The sequence below is a fragment of the Homo sapiens genome, chromosome 11 (assembly GCF_000001405.40).
Source record: "Homo sapiens chromosome 11, GRCh38.p14 Primary Assembly".
Classification (NCBI taxonomy): Eukaryota; Metazoa; Chordata; class Mammalia; order Primates; family Hominidae; genus Homo; species Homo sapiens.
Genome location: NC_000011.10, coordinates 113,535,872 through 113,556,717, shown reverse-complemented (window position 1 = coordinate 113,556,717; position 20,846 = coordinate 113,535,872). Strand labels below are relative to the sequence as shown.

Below are 20,846 nucleotides of genomic sequence, written 5' to 3'. Positions count from 1 at the left end.
GGCCGTAGGGGGATTCTCAAAACTGAGTTTCGTATCTGGGGTCCACTCTCCTCACCAGGGAAGGGGCACATGGATGGGCTTTGAAAGGTTCCTGAGCCTCCTGAAATTGTATGCAAAAGTTTGCCATTGAAATTTTCGGTGGAGAGGGTCTGAAATTTTCATCTGATTCTTAATAACGTTGAGAACCCTAAAGAACTCAAGAATCACTAGTTTAAAAATCAGGGATTGGAGAATTGGGAAGAGCTAGAGGCAACAGGAGTGTTAACTCTGGAGAAGAACAAGAGGATGAAATGGATCTTGAGTAACTCTGATGTTTTGTTTTGGCAGCGAGACTGTTTATGAACAATGCCAGTGTTCCCTGTACTTAATCTGCATTGTTGCACTCAACCCTCATAATAGCCCTTTGAAGGAGACATTGCATTCTCACTTTGCATATAAGGAAATGGGGTGCTTGGGGAGGTTAGACGACTCACCTAAAGTCACACAGCTAAGAATGGTGGAGTTTGGATTCAAACATGGTTTTATCTACCTTCAGAGGACAGATAAGATATGCAGCACGGGAAGCTAATTAGAAGTAGGGAGAAACTTTCTCCACACAGTTGACTATATGCTGAAATAGTAATGAAGAGATGTAAAGTTTAACTACTCCTAGAGATTTTATTTTATTATTTTATATATATTTTTTGAGACAGAGTCTCACTCTGTTGTCCAGGCTGGAGAGCAGTGGCGCTATCTTGGCTCACTGCAACTGCCACCTCTCAGGCTCAAGCGATCTTCCCACCTCACCCTCCCAAGTAGCTGGAATTATAGGCACATGCCACCATGCACAGCTAATTTTTTGTAATTTCTTAAAATAGAAATGGGATTTTGCCATGTTGACCAGGCTGCTCTTGAATGCCTGACCTCAAGTGATCCACCTGCGTTGGCCTCCCAAAGTGCTGGGATTACAGGCATGAGCCACTGCGCCCGCCTACTCCTAGAGATTTTAAGTAACTTCTTTCATTTTATAGCGCTCAAGTAGTACAATGTAGATTACTTTATTCAGGTCTTCCTAACAACCTGTCAAATGTATAAGGTAAATATTATTTCCTGCATTCTGCAGTGACACAGACTTCCCAGTATACTGCAAGGAGGAAGCAGCAGCTCCCTGCTGCCCAGCCCGAGATGCAGCTGCTGAGCTACAATTAGCTGGATGCTGGAGGCTGGACCTGAGGGCCTCTGGGAATTCCTTCTGGCTTAAGAGAGCCATCATTTAAAAACTGGTTTCAGTTGTAGGGGAGTCTCAACCATCAGTGACGTCTGTTGTTTTGAGTTTTCCTCCTAAAGTGCTTTTCTTTCTGCAAGATAAAAGAGAATTTCTTGGAAAAAAAAAAAAAAAGAAAACTTTTTTGTTAACACCCAAGTTATCATAAGGATACAGTAAAACCCAACATCAGAGAGACACAGGTGGTGGTGACTAACATGAGCCAACACAAGCCAAGAGCACCAGCACCCAGTGCACAAACCCCCATCACAGGCCCAGCAAGTTCAATGCAGCTCTGGTTTGGGAGGTTTTAGGAGCAAGCAGCTGTTTTATTTCTAACCACTGACTTATGGAAAGATTGAGTTGCAGTTTGTGTGTGTGTTGGGGGTGGGGGGTGGTGTGGGGAGGTGTAGGGGGATGGGACCAGGCCCTGGGGGAGGTGAGTAGGGTACAAAACATAAGTGAAGCAGCATCATTGTCTGGGGTAAATACCTGGGGTTCGTCATTTGGCGCCAAGAAGATTAGGGACACGGACACACATGGATGGGTTAAGGAGCAGAAAGTCTAATAGGCAGAAGAAAGGAGAGAGATGGACATCTGGGCATCTGAAAGGGAAAAACTGGCCTGAGGCATACCACAGCAGATTTTATAGGCAGGCTTGAGCAGGTGGTGTCTGATTTACATAGGGCCCACAGATTAGTTCCACAAGGTGTGACATATACATAGCACGAAGTGAAAGGCTGGTAGCCCCACCCTGATCTTATTATGCAAATGGGCTTTCCACTTGGCCAGGATCTTGCCTGCTCCTTATTGTACATGTGGCTGGCAAAGAGACAGGAAGATGGAGCCAAATTTTGATCATGCCTAGTCCCAGGTAGCCTATTTCTATTGACATAACTGCCGGCATTCACCCGTGCAAACTTCCAGCTTCCCTTTCTATGTCTGCAGCTCGATTTTACAGGCTGCTCTTTGTTAGAAAAGAAAATGATTTTGGGGCTGCTTTTCATTAAAAGGAAAACCTTAGTGAGGACTTCCTTACCCTCACTATCTGCCTAAATAATTTGTTTTTAACTCCTATATCTTAAGGCAGCACCCACTCTCAGAATTGCTCCTGTGTGGGGTCAGCCCTGAGAGTGGTGCCTCTTTATATTTTTCATCCTCTAAGCCTCACTCACCGCCAGCTGGGCCTGGGCCTGAGCAATAGGGTTGGGCCTTCTCATTAAAGACATTTAAAGTCCCTGTCTCCTAGCTCATAACAGTCAATGAACAGAATGCTTATTTAAATATTCTCTTCCCTCTAAAAGGAACAGTTGGGTTGCTGCAGGTGCATATGGAGTGAGCATATGTAGGGGTCTGTCCTTCAGCTAAACACCACTCCATGCTCTGGTGGGTGTGAACGCCCCCCAGTGGGTGGAACTGTTCCTATGATTAGTCATATTTTGTTTAATTTTTACTCCTAATGGATCACTGGTTGAAGAGAGGAAGTATAAGGAACACTCACATTGAAATTAAAAAAAGACAATGAGAATTGTTTGCCTCACAATCACCTTGAACAAATCAGCAAGCTGCATGTAGCTACTCAAAATTCTCATATAGCATATCAACGTGTCTCTAGTACTTCAAAAACCAATATTAAAACAGAAAAAGTGCATTTCATTTTGGTTTTTCATTTATTGGGAATAAATATTATGCATGAAGATTTTGTCTGCAGATGAGATGCTTGAAAGTAGCAGGCTGAAAGCTTCTCTTTTATCTCCTTTAGAAATAAAATATGAAATATTTTAAGAAAAAAGACTAGTTCATTCTTTAAAGTGCAAAATTTAATAATTTCAGTCATCTGGTCATCAGAGCAGTTTTTGATGCTGTAATATCTAGTCAAAATTTTAGTATGTGTTCCAGCCCCAAACCAAACACTTCAGACTAAGACGGTGTTTTAAATTTCTGAGGGAATTTCTGAGTCATCCTTCTGTGAAACGACTGGAATGTGCGGGTGTGAAAGAAAGAGTCTAAGCTTTGGAGCCAGAGAGAACTGACTTGGGAATCCTCCCGGACCATGCCACACCACAGGAATCCTTCCGGACCACACCAATCCTGCTGCTCTTGTAGCTTCGGTTTCCACATCTGCAAGAAACAGCCTGGGAAGCTTGAGTGCACGTGCCATGAGCTTACTAGATGTGATCTCTCCATGGATGGCAACTTTTTGTCATTTATGTTTGGGCTCCATTCTTCCTTGACAACCGATTTAATTGCTACCCCACCCCCATGCCCAAAACCGCCTCCTGCCACATTTCGTTTTCATTATAGTCATAGCACTATTGCTGCCTGATGGTATCTTATTCATTTGCTTATTTTATTTTTTTATGTTTTTTGAGACAGGGTCTTGCTCTGTCACCCAAGCTGGAGTGCAATGGCAGGATCTCAGCTCACTGCAACCTCTGCATCCCAGGCTTAAATGATCCTCTTGCTTCAGCATCCCAAGTAGCTGGGACTACAGGCACGTGCCACCATGCCAGGCTAATTTTTGTATTTTTTTGTAGAGGCAGAGTTTTGCCATGCTGCCCAGGCTGGTCTCGAACTCCTGGACTCAAGCTATCTGCCTGCTTCAGCCTTTCAAAGTGCTGGGATTATAGGCATGAGCCAATGCACCTGGCCTCTCATTCATTTATGTTTATTTATTTATTTGTTTTGTTTTACTGCCTGCTGCCCTTGCTGGAATGTGAAGTCTCAGGAATCTCACCCAGAAAACCTCTTTTTCTTTCTTTCTTTCTTTTATCATTGCCTCTCCTGTGTTTAGAATAGCCTGGATCTAATACATGCTTAATAAAGCTTTGTTGAATGAATGTTAAATGACTTTCTCTTTTCTCTCTTTCATAACTGGCTGCGACAGTCATTTCATCTGTCCATGTCTTTGTTACTTCATTTGTCACAGAAGCACATTGTTCTAGATCAGCAGTCGGCAAACTATACACAGCCCATGGGTGGAATCTGGCCCACCACCTGTTTTTGTGTATAAAGTTTTATTGAAACACAGCCATGCTCACTTGGTTACATATTGCTGCAGCTGCTTTTGCACCCCAACTGCAGGGTTGAGTAGTTGTGGAGATGATATAGCTTGAAAGCCTAAAATATCTACTACCTGCCCCTTTGCAGAAAAGTTTGCTAATTCTTGGTCTGGTTGAACTCTGAGTTGTTTATACTCCTGATACTTTTAATTGTCTCTGAAATACTCACATGAGGTTTACTGCTCTGTGTAATAACCAACAGCTAATTGATTTTCTGGAACTTCTTTGAAGTTTTGTACTAGGCCATGAATTGACTTTGTTTGGTTTTGAATTTTACACTAATGGTTCATTCATTGCTCCATTACTTTCCAGCCTTCTTCCAAAAAGGACTTAAACTCTAAATACTATAATTGCTGTCACCTTGAGATTTGCTTTAACTTTTTTTTCTGCCACCAGAAATTTCAATTCTAGGATGGAATTGCCTTAATACTGCACTTAGAGTGTTCTTGGCTTTGAAATCAATAAATGTTTCTAGCTGGTATTGCCCCAATTTCAATGTCACAAAACATCAGCTGAGAACTGGAGGTGGAGAAGGAGGGTGCAGGTTCCTTATTTCTCCGAGGAGTCTCTTCCCTTTTTAAGCTCCCTTCCCACATGGTTTCACAAAGGACTGTGTTTCAGAAGAGAGGCAGTGTGGTACGATAGAAAGAACACCGAGTTTGGCGTCAGAGAGATTTTAGTTCACAGTCTATATTTGCCACATTCTAGTTACATGATTTGGGACTAGTAATAGAACCTTTCTGTGCCTCAGTTTCCTCACCTGTAAAGTGGAGATAGGTTGACACCTCATAAAGGAGGGTGAGTAACTGGTCATTTGATAAATATTATCTGAGCACTTGTGATATAGACACTAGGCATTATTCTGGGCAGAATAGACAGACGTATCCCTGCTTTCATGGAGCTTATGTTCTGGCAGCAGGAAGTTGTTGGCAAATAAGCAAACAAATATTTAATATAATGATGAATGCAATGAAGAAAAATAAAGCAGAATAAAGGGATGAAGGATAATGGAAGAGGACTACTTAATGTAGTGGGATGGTCAGGGAAGCCTGCTTAAGGAGGTGACATTTGAGAAGAGACCTGAAGGAAGTGAGGGAAGAGACACAGGAATCTCTGGGGGAACAAATCTGGAGCATCAGAGAGGCAGAATGTACAAAGGCCCTGAAGACGCAGCATGTGTGGTATGTTCAAAGAAGACTTGTAGGCCAGGGTGGCTGGAGCTGAGGAAGCGGGTAGCATGTGAGGCTGGAGGAACAGCCAGGGTTGGGGCTGTGAAGAGAACCCAGGATTTTGTTCTAAAGGTAGTGGGATGCCAATGGAGAGCTTCGAGTAGGGATGTAACAGGATCTGATGTATGCTTTAAAACAATTCTGGGGCCAGACATGGTGGCTCATGCCTGCAATCCCAACACTTTGGAAGGCCAAGGCAGGAGGATCACTTAAGCCTAAGAGTTCAAGACCAGCCTAGGCAACATAACAAGACCCCTACCTCTACAAAAAATTTAAAAAGTATCCAGGCATGGTGCTATGCACCTATAGTTCCAGTACTTGGGAGGCTGAGGCAGGAGGATCCAATGAGTCCAGGAGTTAGAAGCTGCAGTGTAGCTGTGATCATACCATTGCACTCCAGCCTGGGTGACAGAGTGAGACCTTGTCACTAATTAAAAAAAAAAAAAATGAAAGAAAGAAAAAGAAAAGAAACTCTGGCTGTCGTGTGAAGAGTAACTGTGAACTAAAATTTTAAAGATGGCTGTTATTTTTTTTTGCTCATGGTAGACTCACAATAAATAATACATACCCCAGAACCATTTAGAGAGAATTACCTGGTGCTGTCATAAGACAATTTGACAGTAGTTGTGAAAATGGCCGCATTGCTGAAAGGTGGCAGAAAGAGAGGAACTTCCAAGTGATCTCTGCCCTAGTAGGTTAGGGGCTCAGGTGCAGGCCAGTCCTGTCTGGATGCAAGGGATGGAATCCTGCCTCTGGCTAGTGCTCTATCTTCCATGGCTGATGAGACTATCCAGCCTTCCCCCTGTCAGCCTTTAGTAGCAATTAGAGGCACTCAGGTTGGGCTGAACTACATTTGTCACATTTGAAATTGGATCATAGAAAGGAGAGGTGATTACAAGTGCTTTAGAAAGACCAAACACCATTAAGCCTCCGAGATCTGCTGTTTGGAAAGCCCTCAGCCCAGGCTGTTGAGAGTAGGAGGGGAGTTCTCAAAGGAAGGACTAAAGGCATGACAAAGCAGAGTGTGGGATTACAATAATTGTATGAGTTTAAAAAATCAGGACTCAGAGAGAGTGGGAACCAGCTGCCCTGTGCCCTCAATTATGCCAGCACCTAAGGGGGATTGTGTGTGTGTGGGGTCGGCGGGGAGGGCAGTGTTACTATCTGGCCACAAGTTCACTCCAAGTGACCAGCCTGCTGTGGGGTCAGTTCAGCCCAGGTCTGGGAGGAGTCACTTCTCCTTCCTCCCTGAGAGGGCCACATGCTCAGCTTCCCGTCTCCTCTGTGTAGAGATCGTGGCCACATTTGGCTTCAGAGTGTCTGTGGGTGGCTAGCTGGCTGTCTTCTGCCCTTGAAGTCCCTGCTGAGAATGGGTGGGTGCAGTTCCAGTAGGGTGACCAATTGTCTTGGTTTGCCTGGGATTGACAGATTTCCTTGGGTGTGAGGTTTTCAGTGCTAAAACTGGGCAAGTCCTGGGCAAACCAAACAAGCTAGTCACCCTGGGGAGCTGCCTAGACTAAGGGTTCATTGACAGTGGGAGCTGGGTGGTGTTTTTAAAACCACAGATAGAATTACATGCCATACAATTCATTCATTTCAAAGGTGTAATTCAATGATCTTTAGTACATTCACAGAGTTGTGAAACCGTCATTACAATCAATTTTAGAATATTTTCATTGTTCCCAAAAGGAATGCCATCCTCTTTAGCAGTCCCTCCCAATTGCTGACCAATAATCCTCCTGCCCCCTCCCCAGACCTACACCACCATTAATCTTCTTCGTATCTTTATACATTTGACTATTCTGGATATTTAATGTAGACGGAATCATATAATATGTAGTCTTTTATGACCAGCTTCTTCCACTTAACGTAATGTTTGCAAGGTACTTTCATGTCTTAACATGTATCAATACTTCATTCCTTTTTATTGCTGAGTAACATTCCATTGTATTGATATACTGCATTGACTTATGCATTCATCAGTTGTTGGATATTGATATTGTTTCTACTTTTTTTTAATTGGGAAGAATGCTGCTATATTATTCATGTGCAAGTGTTTGTATGGACATGCATGTTCATTTTTCTTGTATAGGCAGGAGTGAAATTTCTGGGTTATATGATACCTCTTTTGGACCTTCGGTCCCAAAGTGACTGAAGTGCCATTTACATTCTCACTGGCAGTGTCTCAGGCTCTCCTCACCCTCACCAACACGTGTTGTTCTCTGTTGTTTTTATTATAGCCACCCTAGTGGGTGTTAAGTGGTATCTCATTGTGGTTTTGATTTTCCTGGTGGCTAATAATTGGGGGCTATGCTTTATTCATACAGATTCCAGGCTTCCAAGATAGAAATTGTAATTTAAGGAGTATAGGATGGCACTTAGTAAGATGTATCCTTATTTTTTCCTCATTGACTAATAGTTTAAAAGCCTCTTTAAAAATAAAATTTCTTTTTGCTTTCTTCCCACAATTAATTTTGTAAGGTAATTCTAATTTACATTAGTCCCCCTTTACCCTTGGGGGTATGTACATTCTAAGACCCCCCAGTGGATGCCTGAAACTGCAGATGGTACCGAATCCTATATATACTATGTTTTTTCTTATAAGTTCATAGGTACCTATGATAAAGTTTAAGCACTTATTATGCACAAACTTTTGCAGTTTGAGGTACGACAGCAAAACTAGCATGTCTGAGCACTTGGCACACTAGCTGGGGCAAACTTCATGCCTAACACATGACAGTTGAATTCTAAGTACTAGAATGAATCACATCAAGTTCCCATTGCTAGAGAAAGCCTGTGTGTACCGTCAGAGCTGAGGGTCTTCATTGGGGTTAAGAAAGCATCTGCTGGGTAGCTGGGTGCTGTGGTTCACGCCTGTAATCCCAGCACTTTGGGAGGCTGAGGCGGGTGGATCACGAGGTCAGGAGATCGAGACCATCCTGGCCAACGTGGTGAAACTCCGTCTGTATTAAAAATACAAAAATTAGCCAGGTGTGGTGGCGTGTGCCTGTAGTCCCAGCTACTCAGGAGGCGAGGCAAATCACTTGAACCTGGGAGGCAGAGGTTGCAGTGAGCCAAGATTGTGCCACTGCACTCCAGGCTGGGCGACAGAGTGAGACTCTGTCTCAGAAAAAAAAAAAAAAAAAGCATCTGCTGGGTATATACTGTGGGTCGAGACAGACATGAAGAGGCTTTCCTCACTAGTATGGGACATGCTTTTGTCATTCAAAGAGCCTGTGCTTTGATGCCAGGCACATGTGGATTCAAATCTCCCCAGTGAGGCCCAAGCCTTCACTCTAGGTGAGAAAAGTAGCAAAATAGTGAGATTTGAGGCCACAAAGACAACAAAGGGCCAGGATGTAGAGGACCGTGTATGGTATACTTAGTTTGGGTTTTTATCCCAGTGGTTTGGTCCTGTAGTCAGGACAGTGATGCCGGCAGGTTTGCATATTAGAAACAGCCTACTGGCATCAGCATGGAGAGCAGATCACACCCAGAGCCAGTAGGACAAGTGGGAAGGTGGGATTCAGCCAACAGGTGAGGGAGGCTGGGTGGAGGCAGTGGGAGAGGATAGGAGTGGTGGGGAGTTACACGCTTCCGGAAAGTGACTCTTAAAACCACTGTGGGGCAGGGGCTTCTTCGCAAGTCTGATGAAACCCAAAGACCTTTCCCCAGAAATAAAGCGTATAAAATTTAGTATACAATCGTAAGGGGTGGCATGAGCACTGCTTAGAGCCTAAGATTGCCCTTATCTCAGCTTAGCCACTGCTTTGCTGGTTTACTGCCAGCAAAGGAGGCTACACCAGATGATTCACAACTTCCTCTCCTGTCCTGAGGGTCTTTGCCTTCCAGTAGTGCTTGGGAATCTTCCCTGTGGTGGGCACGCCTGGAAGACCTAGGGAAGTGAGTCAGGATGGATTGCAAGGCTGATGATGTTGGAAACCCAATGGTAGGAACTATTTTGTTTGCCTTGTGGTTTTTACTGAATTATCTAGGAAGAAAAATGCACAAAATATATTCCCCATCTTATAAATAATGCATCTGACAGAGGTGGCCCAGAGAATTATCACCTGCTGTCTGGCTTCATGTTTGTTTATAACTTTCTCAAGAGTTTGAATTATTTCAGAACTCAAATTCAACCATTTGGCTGAAAGTTTTGGTTTGGTTTATAGTCATTGTATCCCTCCAAAAGGAATTACTCTCCACATGCTTCCTGGCTGTCCCTGTTGCTCATGGCTATGTATGCTGGGGCTGGGAAGATGAAGATTCTCCCAAGATCTTGGGTCATTAATTCCTGCCAAGGGTGGTGAAGTTCCTGGGAGGACCGGTGGTACTGAGGAAACAGATCCTTTGGGACCCAGCTTTTGTCTGAGTAACGAGGGTGACTTCAAGTGTTTTAGGCAAAGCTTTTTGCTTTTCAGAGGTTTCACCCACTGAAAAATGTAGGGGTGGAATAGAGCTTTAGAATGCCTTTAGCGCTAGCATTTCATAATGTAAGGGGGCTTTGCTCCTAGCTTTCCTTGGTTTCTTTATGACAATGATTCTCCAAACTGATTATTAGCCCAAGCAAGGCTGGCTGGATAAGGATCATCTGGGAGGTTATCAAAAATACAGATTCCAGGCTTCCAGGATAGAAATTCTGATTTAAGGAGTATATGATGGAACCTAGTAAGATGTATTCTTATTTTTTTCTTCATTGACTAATATTTTAAAAATAAAACTTCTTTTTGCTTTCTTCCCCCAACTAATTTAGTAAGGTGATTCTGATGTACACTAGTTCCCTTTATCCTCGGGAGTACATATATTCTAAGACCCCAGTGGATGCCTGAAACTGCAAGTAGTATCGAACCCTATATATACTATGTTTTTTTCTTATAAGTACATAGGTACCTATGATAAAGTTTAACTAACCACTTATTATGCACAAACTTTTGCAGTTTGAGGTGCGACAGCAAAACTAGCATGGATTTCTTTTTCCTTTTTCACATTTTCAAAGATAGACTTATTCTTACTATAGATCTTTGCAACCTCAGCCTACGATTTTTTTCTTTCCTTATTCAGTTGAGAACTTCCACCTTTTCACTTAAAGGAAGCATTTTACAGCTTTTCTTTGGCATATCTGAATTGACAGCATCATTACTCTTGCACTTTGGGCCATAGAGTAAAATAAGGATGACTTGGACACAAGCACTGTGATACTGTGATGGTCAAACCTGGGAACCATGGGGTGGGCTGCGGGGGTTAATGTAGTCCTGAGTGGGACAGAAAGGGACAGCATGAGTTTTCATCATGCTTCTCAGAATGACGCATGATTTAAAACTTAGGAATAACATTTCTGGAATTTTCCATTTAATATTTTCAGACCTCGGTTGACTGCAAGTCACTGAAACCTTGCCTAGCGAAACCATGGATAAAGGGGGACTGCTGTATATGCAGGTTTGGGAGATATGTTTTTAGGTAAACATTACTATAGTTGCATTCAATTTAATAAACATTTATGAAGTACCTAGAATATGCAAGATGTTTTGCCCAATCAGATGAAAAAGGTACCATTTCTGCTTTAGTTCGTAGTCTGGTGATGAAGGAACACAGGTAAAAACTAGTTATACCTGTGAGCAGTGCCTTAATAAATATATATACCAAACACAGAGGGGTGAATGATTAAAACAGGCTGGAAATGACAAGACAGGTGACCAGGCAAGTAAGTAAATGAATCCAGGGTTAGAAGGAGTGATGCTGTCTGGTCACATAACTTGCTCTCTGTGTTCCAAGACCTCATTCTGGATAATGGCTTGTTTTTCATTAAAACTACACCAACAGTTTAACAGGCACCCAAACACTGAAATCATTCTAATTAAATCAAGGAGGACACAAAAATCACTGTGGTGATTTAGCATTATTCTGGAAATTCTTGCTGATCCACTGTGCACGAACTAGAATTAGATCATATAATTTTGAAAGGAGGAGATGAAATTGTTATTATATATTGATGATCTGTTTGCATAGTAGAAAACTCATGAATAAATTGAAAAATGATGAAAAATAACGTCACAATTTAGTAGCTGAAAATCTGAAACAGTATGAAAATCTGTAGTGACAGAAATCAGATCAGTTGTTGCCTGAGAATATGTGGGAGGGTTGGGAGGGAAAGATTACTATAGGGCAGGAGGAAGGTTTGGGGGTAATAGATTTGGTCACTGTCCTCATGTGGGGATAGTTTTATAGGTGTAGACATATGTCAAGCTTATCAAATTCATGCTTTAAATATGTACTTTGATCACACACAAATAATTGCAGCAAATAAAATAAGGTGGTAGGGACAGATAAACAATCTCACATTGTTTATTGTAGCTCAATTATATACCATAAAGCTGTAAAAAATTATTATAGTTCCAATATATCAGCAATTACTAATAATTAGAAAACAGAGTAAAAGTACAGAAAATGTAGTAAAGTGTAAAAAATATAGTAGAATATACTAGAAAATATAGGAGAAAATTCCATTCATAATAGCAGTAAAACCCATAAAATACCTGGGATAACCATAAAAAGAAGTGAGAATTTATTTAGAGAAAAATACAAAACTTTACTGAGAGTCATAAAAGATTTGAATAAATGGAGAGGTATACTATGTTCCTGGAAGGAAAGACTGTCATAAAGGTGTCAGTTCTTCCTAAGTTGCTTTGTACTTTTAAAACAATGTGAACCAAAGGGACAAAGAGTTGTTTTCTCCTTTGGGGATGGGAGATGGGAGAAAGGGATGGATCAACCTGACCAAATGAGGCAGCTGTGTGTGTTAACCGTGCCGTTCATTTCCGGTATTCTTTGACCTCTGAAGCCTTGCTGACCCTGGAGGGATTCCTCCTCCCAAGGTTAGCCAATTCCTCAAGATAATAAACAACATGGTTGAGAGGGTGCTTTTAAGTGTAAACCAACTTGATCCAGAGTCTTCACACCAAATGACCTTCTTTATTGGACTCTCACACTCTGGGTCATTAACCACCCACCCTCATCACCCCAGGGCCAGGTACTGGACAACTCAGGACAGTTCTTATGCTCCCAGAACCTGTGAAATTATTCAAAATAGCCAATCCTAACCCTGCTTACCCTGCCCCACCCATTCCTTTCCACAGGAATCACGGTCAAGGCTCTTGCTCTTAGGCCCAGCTCTCCCTCTGCCTCCTGACCAACCCTGGTACTTCCCATGTGGCATCTCTGAGTATAATCAACTATTTTCAGTGGTGGTTGTTTCCTCATCTGTTGGCCTTGCCATACCTAAATAATAATAACACCCCCACGAAAAGATGGTAGTAGGCAGAATTCTAAAAATGGCACCTGGTTATTCAATCAGTTGAATCCAGACACTGCTGTGAAGGTGCTTAGCAGATGCAAACGAAGTCCCAAGTCAGCTGAACTTCCAACACAGAGATTATTTGAGTGAGCATGTTGCAATCAGGTGAGCCCTTTAAAAGAAGAGTGTTTTCTCTGGCCAGTGGCAGGAGAGAAAGTCTGAGAGAGTTACGCTCCTATTGGTTTCTAGGAAGCAGCCAGTAGCTATGCTATTGAGGGGCATGTGTCCAGGAACTGGTGAGCTTGGAAGAAGAGTCCAGCCTCAGAGGAGAATTGTAGCCCAACTGACACCTTGATTTCAGCTTGTGAGGCCTGAGCCGATCCACCTAACCTGGAGCCCAGATTCCTGATTAGTGGAACTGTGAGATAACAAACATGTATTATTTTACAGCTGCTAAGTTTGTGGTAATTTGTTACGGCAGCAAAATAAAATGAATAAGAAGGCAGCAAGAAGGGTGCTTCACAGGATGGCCTCTAAAGCCAGACGGGGTTAGATATTCGCCTTGCCACTTACCAGCTGTGTGACCTCACAGAAGTTATTTACATCTCAGTTTCCTCATCTGGAAAGTGCAGTAAGTATAGCACCTCCCTTACAGGTTTGCTGTGAGGATTACATGGTTAATGCATAGAAAGTGCTTAGAGCAGGCCTGGTGCATAGTGCAGGCTATATTTGCTAAGTGGCAAATTATCATATCTATAATTGTTTGCCATTTTTATGACTCTAAATTTAGGTGGGAGAATAATCACTCAAAAATCACCAAGGAGAAAAAGTATAAAAGATTACTGAGAGAAGTGGTTCTATCAGATATTAAAAAGTGCTCATGCAGCCACAATAATTAAATCAGTATGGTTCAGGAATAGACTGATGATTCAATCGGATAGAATCAATAACCAGAGACATGCATGCACACTCACGTGTCCATTCATTTAACAAGTATTCCTAGCGCACCTACGATGTGCCGGGTGCTGTTCTACACACTGGGGATATGGTGGTAAAACAAAAGAAAAATGAAATTCAAACAGATAAAGTCCTTGTTCTCAGGGATCTTTACCCTAAGAGGTAGAGCCAGACAGTAGGGAATTAAATATAGCATGTTACATGCAGGAACAAATGCTGTGAACAAAGCATTTATTCTGGTTAGACAGGATATGAGGGATGGAGAGAGATGGAGAATGTTATTTTCAGTAGAGTGGCCAGAGGACACCTGTTGATAAGTTGACATTTGAACAGAGCTCTGAGGGAAGTGAATAAGGGAGTTAGATATCAAGGGGATGGGCATCCAAGCAGAAGGGGAGCAAGTGTCAAGGCCCTGTGGCAGGTGCAGCGCGACCTGTTCAAGGTCTGTGTGTTTGAACAGAATGAGAGAAGGAGTCAGGTGGCAAAGATGAGGCTAGAGATGAAGCCTCCTGTGAATATTTAACCAAAGGTTGCCAGATACAACCCAGGACACCAGTTAAATTTGAAATTCAGTAGAAACAAGAAATAATTTTTTGGTGTCTATTCCATGTAATATTTGGGATATACTTATACTAAAATTTATTTGTCATTTCTATGAAATTCCATTTTAACTGGATATCTTGAAATTCTATGTGTTAATGCCAGAAATCCTAGCTGGAAAAAATGATTATGATGTAGTGTTAAATTTAAAAGTCATGATACAAAATTAGGTTGACAGTATGATCTCAATCATATTAAAATGTATAGATAAATGTCTGGAAAGGAATGTACTAAATCAAATGTTAACTCTGCTGCTTCTTAGGTGATAGGCAAATGGGTAACATTTTAACTGTTTTCCTTCTTTGTAGGTTTCTTTAATTTCCACATGCTCTACAGTATGTTCGAATCAGTATGCAAAGTGCCTAGAAAAGTGCCCTTGGTAGCCATAGAATGAATACTTGTTGATTGTTTAATTATTAAATTCATTGTACATGTATTACTTTCAAATCAGGAAATCTTCAGTTTAACTGTGGGGAGCAGAGCCATAGTAAGTTCACTCTATATGGCCTCCAGAAAGGGGAAGGAGGAGTTTCATGGCTAGGAACCTTGGGTACCAACTACTGAGTGGATCCCAGAAGAAAGATGCTGGGTGCCTCCATCTGAATCCTGCATCTTGATGCTGTAAGGGCCTCTACAACCGGGTAGGTCCCCTTGAGTTTGCATGAGTCTGCTTGAGGCTGCAGGAGTCCTGCATGGGGCTGTCCAATACTTTGAAAAGAGTCTGAGCCAAGCACTCTTCTTCCTTTGTTCCTGGTTAAATATCTGGCACAGAACGAGGGCATTTCTATTCTCCCAAAAGCATTATAATGCATTCCAGGCCAGTCCCTAAAAAGTATTTGGCTTGAATGGACAAACCCCCTGGTGGCCTGTAGCCTTGTCAACACCAGAGATTGGAGTGTGCTATTAACAAGCATAGAACCTCAATAATTCATCCTCCTGTTGGCTACTGCAAGCTTAGAGAAATACCAACTTCACTCTCCATGTGTTCTGGCCCAGGTAAAGAAAAACCAACAAAAGAGCAAGAAGCCAGGATAGGGGCTCTGCAGTGAAATGCTCTTTGATGTCTGGCTCTGAGGTTCTGAGGGAGAAAAGCCCCGGACACGTATCAATCAGTCTGACAATGTTGACAGGGCTTTGGGTTCTGTGTGTGTGGCTGTCTTCCCCACTGGGCTGTTCATTCAAGCCCCAAGCCAGTCCAGTGCCTGGCCCCTATCTGGCTGTACCCACATGTGTTTGTCAATCTCAGCTGAACTCTCCAGTTCAGTTCAGCTAGGCACTGAGGGTGCAGCCAGCAGATGTTTCTCTCGGGATCTCACTGTGCTCATGGAGCCTACCTGCCTCTTTACCCTCTTATTATATCTTGCTCCCATCCCCCATATGCCCCAGGTGCTGGCAAAGCCCACCTTCTGACAGTTCCTCCAGCACGCCCAGCTCAGTCCTGTCTCAGGGCCGTTGTGTCTGCTGTTCCCTCTGCCTGGAGTTCTCTTCCTTAGAGCTCTCCTAGAGTGGCACCTTCTCCTTGTGCAGCCCAAAGGTTCCCTCCCTACCACCTTAGAGAGGCCACTACGGCCACCCTAGGATGCAATTCTTCCTTTGAATTCACTCTATAGTCTTTGTTTAGTCCTGTGTCATTTGTGTCCCTTCCTCTGGAAGGTCAGCTCCATGACATCAGAGGCCTTTTCTATCTTGCTAATAGCTACTCCCCGGCACCTGGAGTGAGGCTTGATGCACCACAGGTGCTCAGGGTGTGTGGGCTGAACCTTCCCTAGCTGGGCTTTTCCCAGCCTCTAGGGGAGCTCTGATCTCTCTAGCTCTGCTCTCTCAGAGGGACAAATGTTTTCATATTAGCTTAGCCCATACGGGTTGACATGTTTGGAGAGAAAAATTAAGAGGCAAAGAAGGAAAACTCCACAGATTTCAAAAGCTGACTAGCTGATCTCATTTGTATCCTAAGATGACTTAAAGCCTCATGGGCATCTTGGCTGACACTGGTCTTGGTTGGCCCTGCTTGGGTGGGATGTGAGAACAGCTGCCCCTCCTCATCACCAGGTTCAGAGGGATATTCAGGCCCTGTCAGGCCCTGCTTCTCTGCTTCTCCTCTGGGTGAAGACCCAAGATGTGCATTCTGGCCTCATGGTGACGTGTGTATCTCTCTGCAGCCGTCCTAGATCTCTTGGGTTGACCCATGCTTTTGCTGTGGGCATAGTAGCCTTATAGAAGTAGGCCTTGGGCTTCCAGCTGTTCTCCTCTGAGCAGCAGACATTGTTTCTCCTGGAGATGTCTTTGACTCCGGATCCTCTTTTCTCCCTGCCTGCAGCATATTCACTAGCTGGGCTTGTGGATGATGTTTTCTTCTTGTCATTTGGATGAAATCTGACTTCTTCCCCTCCTACTATAAGCAGTGCCTGACCCAGCCACATCCACAGCCCTGAAATGAAAGATGTCCACTTTCCAGGCGGAATCTTGGGCATGCTACATAACTTTTTTGAATTTTTCTTTCCTTATCTGTAAGATGGAGATGATAACACCAGCCTCCTAAAGTTTTGTGGAGTCCAAAGAGATAGTCAATGTACAGGACCTGGCAAAAAGGGAGGGAAAGAGAGATGTAGTTATCATGATTAAAACTTGCAGCCCTGGCACCTGCTGAGCTCCTGACCTGGCTAGTAGAGGTTTCAGGACTTTCAAAAACAAGCCTGAGTTTCAGCCTATCCTCAGGGGGTGGGCACTACAAGTGCCAATCCAGGCAGGTAGTGTGGGGCAGGGCGAGGACATTAGGCTGAGTGTCAGGGCCTGGGTTTGGGGCTGACTTTGGGTGATCTTAACCAAGTGTCTCCCTTTTCAGCCTTGCTATGATGTATTTTCTGGTTCGTGCGGTCTGAAAACTATAGGGAGCTGGGGAGATGCTTCCAAAGAGAGAAAAAGGAGATGCCCAGGTTAGCTTAATGAGTGAGGGCTATAGGCAATGCATGCATTGACCCAACTGTGAGTTTAACTGTGAGCAGATGCAGGGTTTGCTGGATCCATGAAACCAACTCCAAGAAATCTCCAGGGCTGAATCCCTGTTGGCAGCCTTAGCGACGCTGCTTTTCAAAGCTACTGAGGTGAAAAGGGTTCTTTGCTTTGGTCATGATGGAAGCCCTGGGGCGGTGACAGCTATGAAATGTCCCATAGGCATGAGGGAGAGAGGCTGGTCTGGTCTGTCTGGGATGGCCCAGGCTGCTTCTGTGCCCCCTCTGCTGTCACAAGCAATGAGCCTGCTTCTCTTGCTTGTCCACACAGCTCTCTGGGTCCACAGAAAGAAGAGTGTGAGCGAGTCGGGGTAAGCCTTAGTGAAAGCCAGGGGCTGCTGGTGACAGGCTGGACCACCTTAGAGAGGCATCTAACCTCCAAGTCCCATTGTTTTCCTCTTTTGGGAACCAGAGATAAAGGTGGTGTGATCATCTTTGCCTGGCCAGAATGAGGGAAAATCATTGAGAAAGTGATTTTCTCACTTGGAGGAAAAGATGTGTGATGGTGGCATAACTCCTGGCCAAACACCACCCACATTCATTGCAGGGAGAGGTGGCCTGAGATATCTATTTACTTTCTAATTCAGGCTTTAATTTAGCAAGCAATTGTTGCCTTTTGTGAGCAAAGCACTCCTTGCTTGGGAGTCCAAAAATGAATAGAATCTGGTGCCTGCCTCCTGGGGCTCACATTGTAAGTCCCCACTCTCTTCCCTTTGTGTAAACAATACCAGCTCTACCTACCATCCATCACATGAAACAGTCTGAGCTCTTCCCAGCACTCTGGTTGAATTCCAATCTTCCAGAAATGTCATGAATTTTAAGCTCATTTAATCCTCATACAACACTGTCTGGAGTGGTGTTTTAAGTACCGTTTTGCAGGTGAGGGCACTGAGGCTCCGAGATGTCCATAATAGGGGCAGAGCATGTACACCCTGAGAGGACCTGTGGGCTTCCCAGAGGAGGTGACACTTGCCTGGATTTTCATGCATGGGTTGGAGGTCACTGGAAGGACAAGAGGGGCAGGGGCACATCAGGAAGAGGGAACATCTTACTCAAAAGCTCAGAGATCAGAAATAAATACTGTGCCATGGAAATAGCCAGCAGCTAATTTTCAAGTTTAGAAAAGCTAAGAAGGTCCCTGTATACCAGGCAAAAGAGTTGTGTCTTTAAGCTGGGGCAATGCTGAGTGTGCATGTGTTTGTATGCATGTATGTGTGTGCATGTGCGTATCTGTGTACCTGTGGTGGCATTTGCTCTGGGAAGAATCATCGTGGATTTTATCTTCCCTTTAATGGTAGGCAGATAATACGGAGGCAGGTGGGGCTGGAGGTAGACAGACCAGATGAGAGGTTATCGCAACTGTCTAGTAATATTAATCAATATTTACTGAGTACTTATCCCGTGCCAGGTACAGTGCTAAATACTTTGCAAGGATTATCTCATAAATCTTGTATCAACCTCTGAGGCAGCTGTCACTATTATGCCCACATTACATACAAAGAAACTGAAATTTCAACAGGTTTAATAACTTGCCCAGGATTGCACAGCATAAGCTATGAGCATAAACTGAGATTTGAACACAGCTTTCTCTGACCAGATTCCAAATCCCTGACCATGATTACCTAGTATGACAAGGGCTTACATTTACGCAGGGATGGTGGGATTGAAAGTAGAGGAAATACCTGATAAATATTTAGGAGGTAAAACCAGTGAATTTGGTGAGCAAATTGGTCCCAGGAACGAATGAGAGGAAGATGCTTTCAGCCTGGGTGACTATGGAGCCTGGAGAAACATAGATGTTATAGAAAAGACATTGCTTTTGTGATCTCAGGTTTACCTGATGCAGGTATAACAGGATCTGGACTCTGCTCTTCAACACATGAACGGCCCCTCCTTATTCAATTTATAACTGATCAGCAATTCATCTATGGGGAGGTGAGAGCCCTGCCTAGGACTCCAGGGTCCTCACCCCAAGTATTGATCCAGTTAAATTGATCTAGTGATTGTTCTCCTTGGATGTGGTCATTCTGCCAGTTATAAAGCCCCTGACTGTATGATCATCTGAGTCACATTTCTCTGCCTGGGATCATGAGCCCATAGGTACTGTTTTTCATCTATTCATCCGACAACTCTATCGGAAAAGAAAACGAGAAATGTCAGGTATAAGGGGCTCTTCATGGACCCATGGTGGCCCCTGTGGATCACAGAATCTCTCCTTGAGGGCATGCAAACCACCTACTTAATGAGAATTGTACCTGGGATGGGCCCCCAGCAAATGTATCTCTTTTGGAAAATGAAGGCGTTTGCTTTTTTCTAGTCCCTTTTCAACATTTGAACCAATTTTAATTGAGTGTTTGCTGTGTTCCTGTCATGTACTTGTCCTTTCTACATCCATGATGATTCTTCAAGGGTTTCCAACAGCAGGTCCATATCCTGTGTGATATCCACAAACTGTTGAATAGAATTCTTCCAGGTCAAGAGCCTTGACCTCATTTTAACAATCGGTGTGTTACCTGGATTCTTAAATTCTCCTTACCGATGTTTATTTTAAATGTACTAATTTGAGAATCACTGTCCTTGACAGACAGGTAGAAACAAAATAGGGGCTGAAGAGGGCTGCTTTTTGTTAACTTTAAATCATTAATATTAAGGGGACAGAGCTGGGCGCAGTGGCTCATGCCTGTAATCCCAGCATTTTGGGAGGCTGAGGCGGGTGGATCACCTGAGGTTGGGAGTTCAAGACCAGCCTGACCAACATGAAGAAACCCTGTCTCTACTAAAAATACAAAAATTAGCTGGGCTTGGTGGCACATGCCTGTAACCCCGGCTACTTGGGAGGCTGAGGCAGAAGAATCGCTTGAACCTGGGAGGCGGAGGTTGCAGTGAGCCGAGGTCACGCCATTGCATTCCAGCCTGGGCAACAAGGGTGAAACTCCGTCTCTCTCTCTCTCTCTCTCTCTCTCTCTCTCTCTATATATATATATATATATATATATGGACAGGAAGGAACTGACAACATGTATGTATATATTTATTTATTTATTATACTTTAAGTTCTGGGATACACGTGCAGAACATGCAGGTTTGTTACATAGGTATACATGTGCCATGATGGTTTGTTGCACCCATCAACCCATCATCTAGGTTTTAAGCCCTGCATGCATTCGGTATTTGTCCTAACGCTCTCCCTCCCTTGCCCCCGACACCCCGGCAGGCCCCAGTGTGTGATGTTCCCCTCCCTGTGTCCACGTATTCTCATTATTCAACTCCCACTTATAAGTGAGAACATGCGGTGTTTGGTTTTCTGTTCCTGTGTTAGTTCACTGAGAATGATTGTTTCCAGCTTCATCCATGTCCCTGCAAAGGACATGAACTCATTCTGTTTTATGGCTGCATAGTATTCCATGGTGTATATGTTCTTTATCCAATCTATTATTGATGGGCATTTGGGTTGGT

General features: G+C 43.5%; 2 annotated features.

The window, feature by feature from the left end:
- Positions 2,502 to 3,003: an enhancer, noted in NCBI's record as "H3K27ac hESC enhancer chr11:113424437-113424938 (GRCh37/hg19 assembly coordinates)". NCBI's record gives its function as "activates a minimal SCP1, AML or CMV promoter by ChIP-STARR-seq in primed H9 embryonic stem cells {active_cell/tissue: H9 hESC(primed)}" and the evidence as "EXISTENCE:reporter gene assay evidence [ECO:0000049][PMID:30033119]".
- Positions 15,841 to 16,352: an enhancer, noted in NCBI's record as "OCT4-NANOG hESC enhancer chr11:113411088-113411599 (GRCh37/hg19 assembly coordinates)". NCBI's record gives its function as "activates a minimal SCP1, AML or CMV promoter by ChIP-STARR-seq in primed H9 embryonic stem cells {active_cell/tissue: H9 hESC(primed)}" and the evidence as "EXISTENCE:reporter gene assay evidence [ECO:0000049][PMID:30033119]".